At 38.2% G+C, this 2666-nt stretch overlaps 1 annotated feature.

Annotated features, from left to right (window-relative positions):
- Window positions 1774-2466: an enhancer, noted in NCBI's record as "NANOG hESC enhancer chr7:9497177-9497869 (GRCh37/hg19 assembly coordinates)". NCBI's record gives its function as "activates a minimal SCP1, AML or CMV promoter by ChIP-STARR-seq in naive H9 embryonic stem cells {active_cell/tissue: H9 hESC(naive)}" and the evidence as "EXISTENCE:reporter gene assay evidence [ECO:0000049][PMID:30033119]".

Genomic DNA, 2666 nt, shown 5'->3' on the forward strand with positions numbered 1-2666 from the left:
TTTGTAGTATTTTGTTAAGGATTTTTCCATCTATATTCATCAGGGATTTTGGCCTGAAGTTTACTTTTTTCCTTGTGTAACTGTCATATTTTGTTTTCTTAATGATTCTGGCTGTATAGAATGAGTTCAGGAGGAGTCCCCTCTTTCTTGTTTTTTTGAATAGTTTCAGTAGCATTCACATCAGTTGTTCTTTGTACATCTGGTAGAATGTGGCTCTGAATCCATCTGGCTTGGTGCTTTCATTAATTCAGTAAGTTTGCTTATCACTTATTCAATTTCAGAACTTGGTATTGGTCAGTTCAAGTTTTCATTTACTTTCTGGTTCAATTTTGGGAGGCTTTATGTTTTGAGAAATTTATCTGTTTCCTCTAGATTTTCTCATTTGTGTGCATAGAAGTGTTCATAATACTCTTTGAGGATATTTTGTATTTCTGTGACATTGGGTATAATGTCATCTTTGTCATTGTTAATTGTACTTATTTGTGTCTTCTCCTTTTATTTCTTTGTTAATCTTTTTAACAGTCTATTATTCATATTTATTTTTTCAAACCAACTCTTGATTTCGTTGATTTTTTTTTTTTTTTTTTTTTTTTTTGACGGAGTCTTGCTCTGTCGCCCAGGCTGGAGTGCAGTGTGGCGCAATCTTGGCTCACTGCAAACTCTACCTCCTGGGTTCACACCATTCTTCTGCCTCAGCCTCCTGAGTAGCTGGGACTACAGGCGCCCACCACCACGCCCAGCTAATTTTTTGTATTTTCAGTAGAGATGGGGTTTCACCATGTTAGCTAGGATGGTCTCGATCTCGTGACCTCGTGATCTGCCCACCTCGGCCTCTCAAAGTGCTGGGATTACAGGTGTGAGCCACCGCACCTGGCCTTCATTGATCTTTTGTATGGAGTTTTGTGTCTCAATTTCATTCAGTTCTTCTCTGATTTTAGTCATTTATTTTCTTCTGCTAGCTTTAGAGTTGGTTTGTCCTTTTTTTTTTTCTAATTCCTTTATGTGCAATATTAGATTATTTATTTGAGATCTTTCTAACTTCTTGATAAAGACATTTTGTGTTGTATAGTTTTGTCTTAACATTGCCTTTGCTGCATCCCAATGATTTTGGTAAGTTGTGTCTCTATTTTTATTAATTTCAAAGGACATTTTGGTTTGGAGCTTACTTTCATTGTTCACATGGGTTATTCAGAAGCAAGTTGTGTAATTGCCATGTATTTATGTAGCTTTGAGAGATCTGGATATTGATTTTTATTTTTATTGCACTGTGGTCTGAAAGTGTGCTTGGTACGATTTTGATGTTTTTGAATTTATTAAGACTTGCTTATAACAAAACATGTGGTCAATCTTAGAAAATGTTTCATGTACAGATGAGAAGAATTATACTGTGGTTGTTGAGTGGAGTGTTCTGTAGATGTCTATTGGTCCAATTGATTCAGTGCCAAGTTTAAGTCTAGATTTTTTTTGTATAATTTTCTGCCTTGATAATTTTCTAATGTTATGAATGCTATGAGTGGGGTATTGAAGTCTCCCACTATTATTGTGTGGCTGTCTAGATATTTGCATTGCTCAAGCTGGGCTGATTTTATAAATATGAGTGTTCCAATATTTGGTGCCTGTATATTTAGGATAGTTGATTCTTGTTGAATTGAACTCTTCGTCATTATGTACTGCCTTTCTTTGTCCATCTTATTTGCTATTGATTGAATGTCTGTTTTACCTGATATAAGAATAACAACTTCTGCTCTTTTTCTTTTCTGTTTGCATGGTAGATATTTATCCACCCCTTTACGTTGAGCCTGCAGGTGTTGTTACATGTGAGATAGGTCTCTTGAAGAAAGCAGAAAGTTGGGCCTTGTCTTTTTATCCAGTTTGCCACTCTATCCGTTTTAAGTGGGGTATTTGACTATTTATATTCAGTGTTAGTTTCATGCGCATCTGTATGAAGAGACCACCAAACAGGCTTTGTGTGAGCAATAAAGCTTTTAATCACCTGGGTGCAGGTGGGCTGAGTCTGAAAAGAGAGTCAGCAAAGGGAGATAGGGGTGGGGCCATTTTATAAGATTTGGGTAGGTAAATGAAAATTACAGTCAAAGGGGGGTTGTTCTCTGGCGGGCAGGAGTGGGTGTCACAAGGTGCTCAGTAGGGGAGCTTGTGAGCCAGGATGAGCCAGGAGAAGGAATTTCACAAGACAGTGTCATCAGTTAAGGCAAGGACTGGCCATTTTCACTTCTTTTGTGGTGGAATGTCATCAGTTAAGGTGGGGCAGGGCATTTTCACTTCTTTTGTGATTCTTCAGTTACTTCAGGCCATCTGGGCATATACGTGCAAGTCACCGGACATGCGATGGCTTAGCTTGGGCTCAGAGGCCTGACATTCCTGCCTTCTTATATTAATAAGAAAAATAAAACAAAATAGTGTTGAAGTGTTGGGGCAGCGAAAATTTTTGGGGGGTTGTATGGAGAGAGAGAATGGGCGATGTTTCTCAGCGCTGCTTCAAGAGGGATTAGGGGCTGCGTGGGAACCTAGAGTGGGAGAGATTAAGCTGAAGGAAGTTTTTGTGGTAAGGGGTGATATTGTGGGTTTGTTAGAAGAAACATTTGTCGTGTAGAATTATTAGTGATGGCCTGGATACGGTTTTGTATGAATTGAAAAACTAAACGGAA

The sequence above is a fragment of the Homo sapiens genome, chromosome 7 (genome assembly GCF_000001405.40).
Source record: "Homo sapiens chromosome 7, GRCh38.p14 Primary Assembly".
In the NCBI taxonomy this organism is placed as follows: Eukaryota; Metazoa; Chordata; class Mammalia; order Primates; family Hominidae; genus Homo; species Homo sapiens.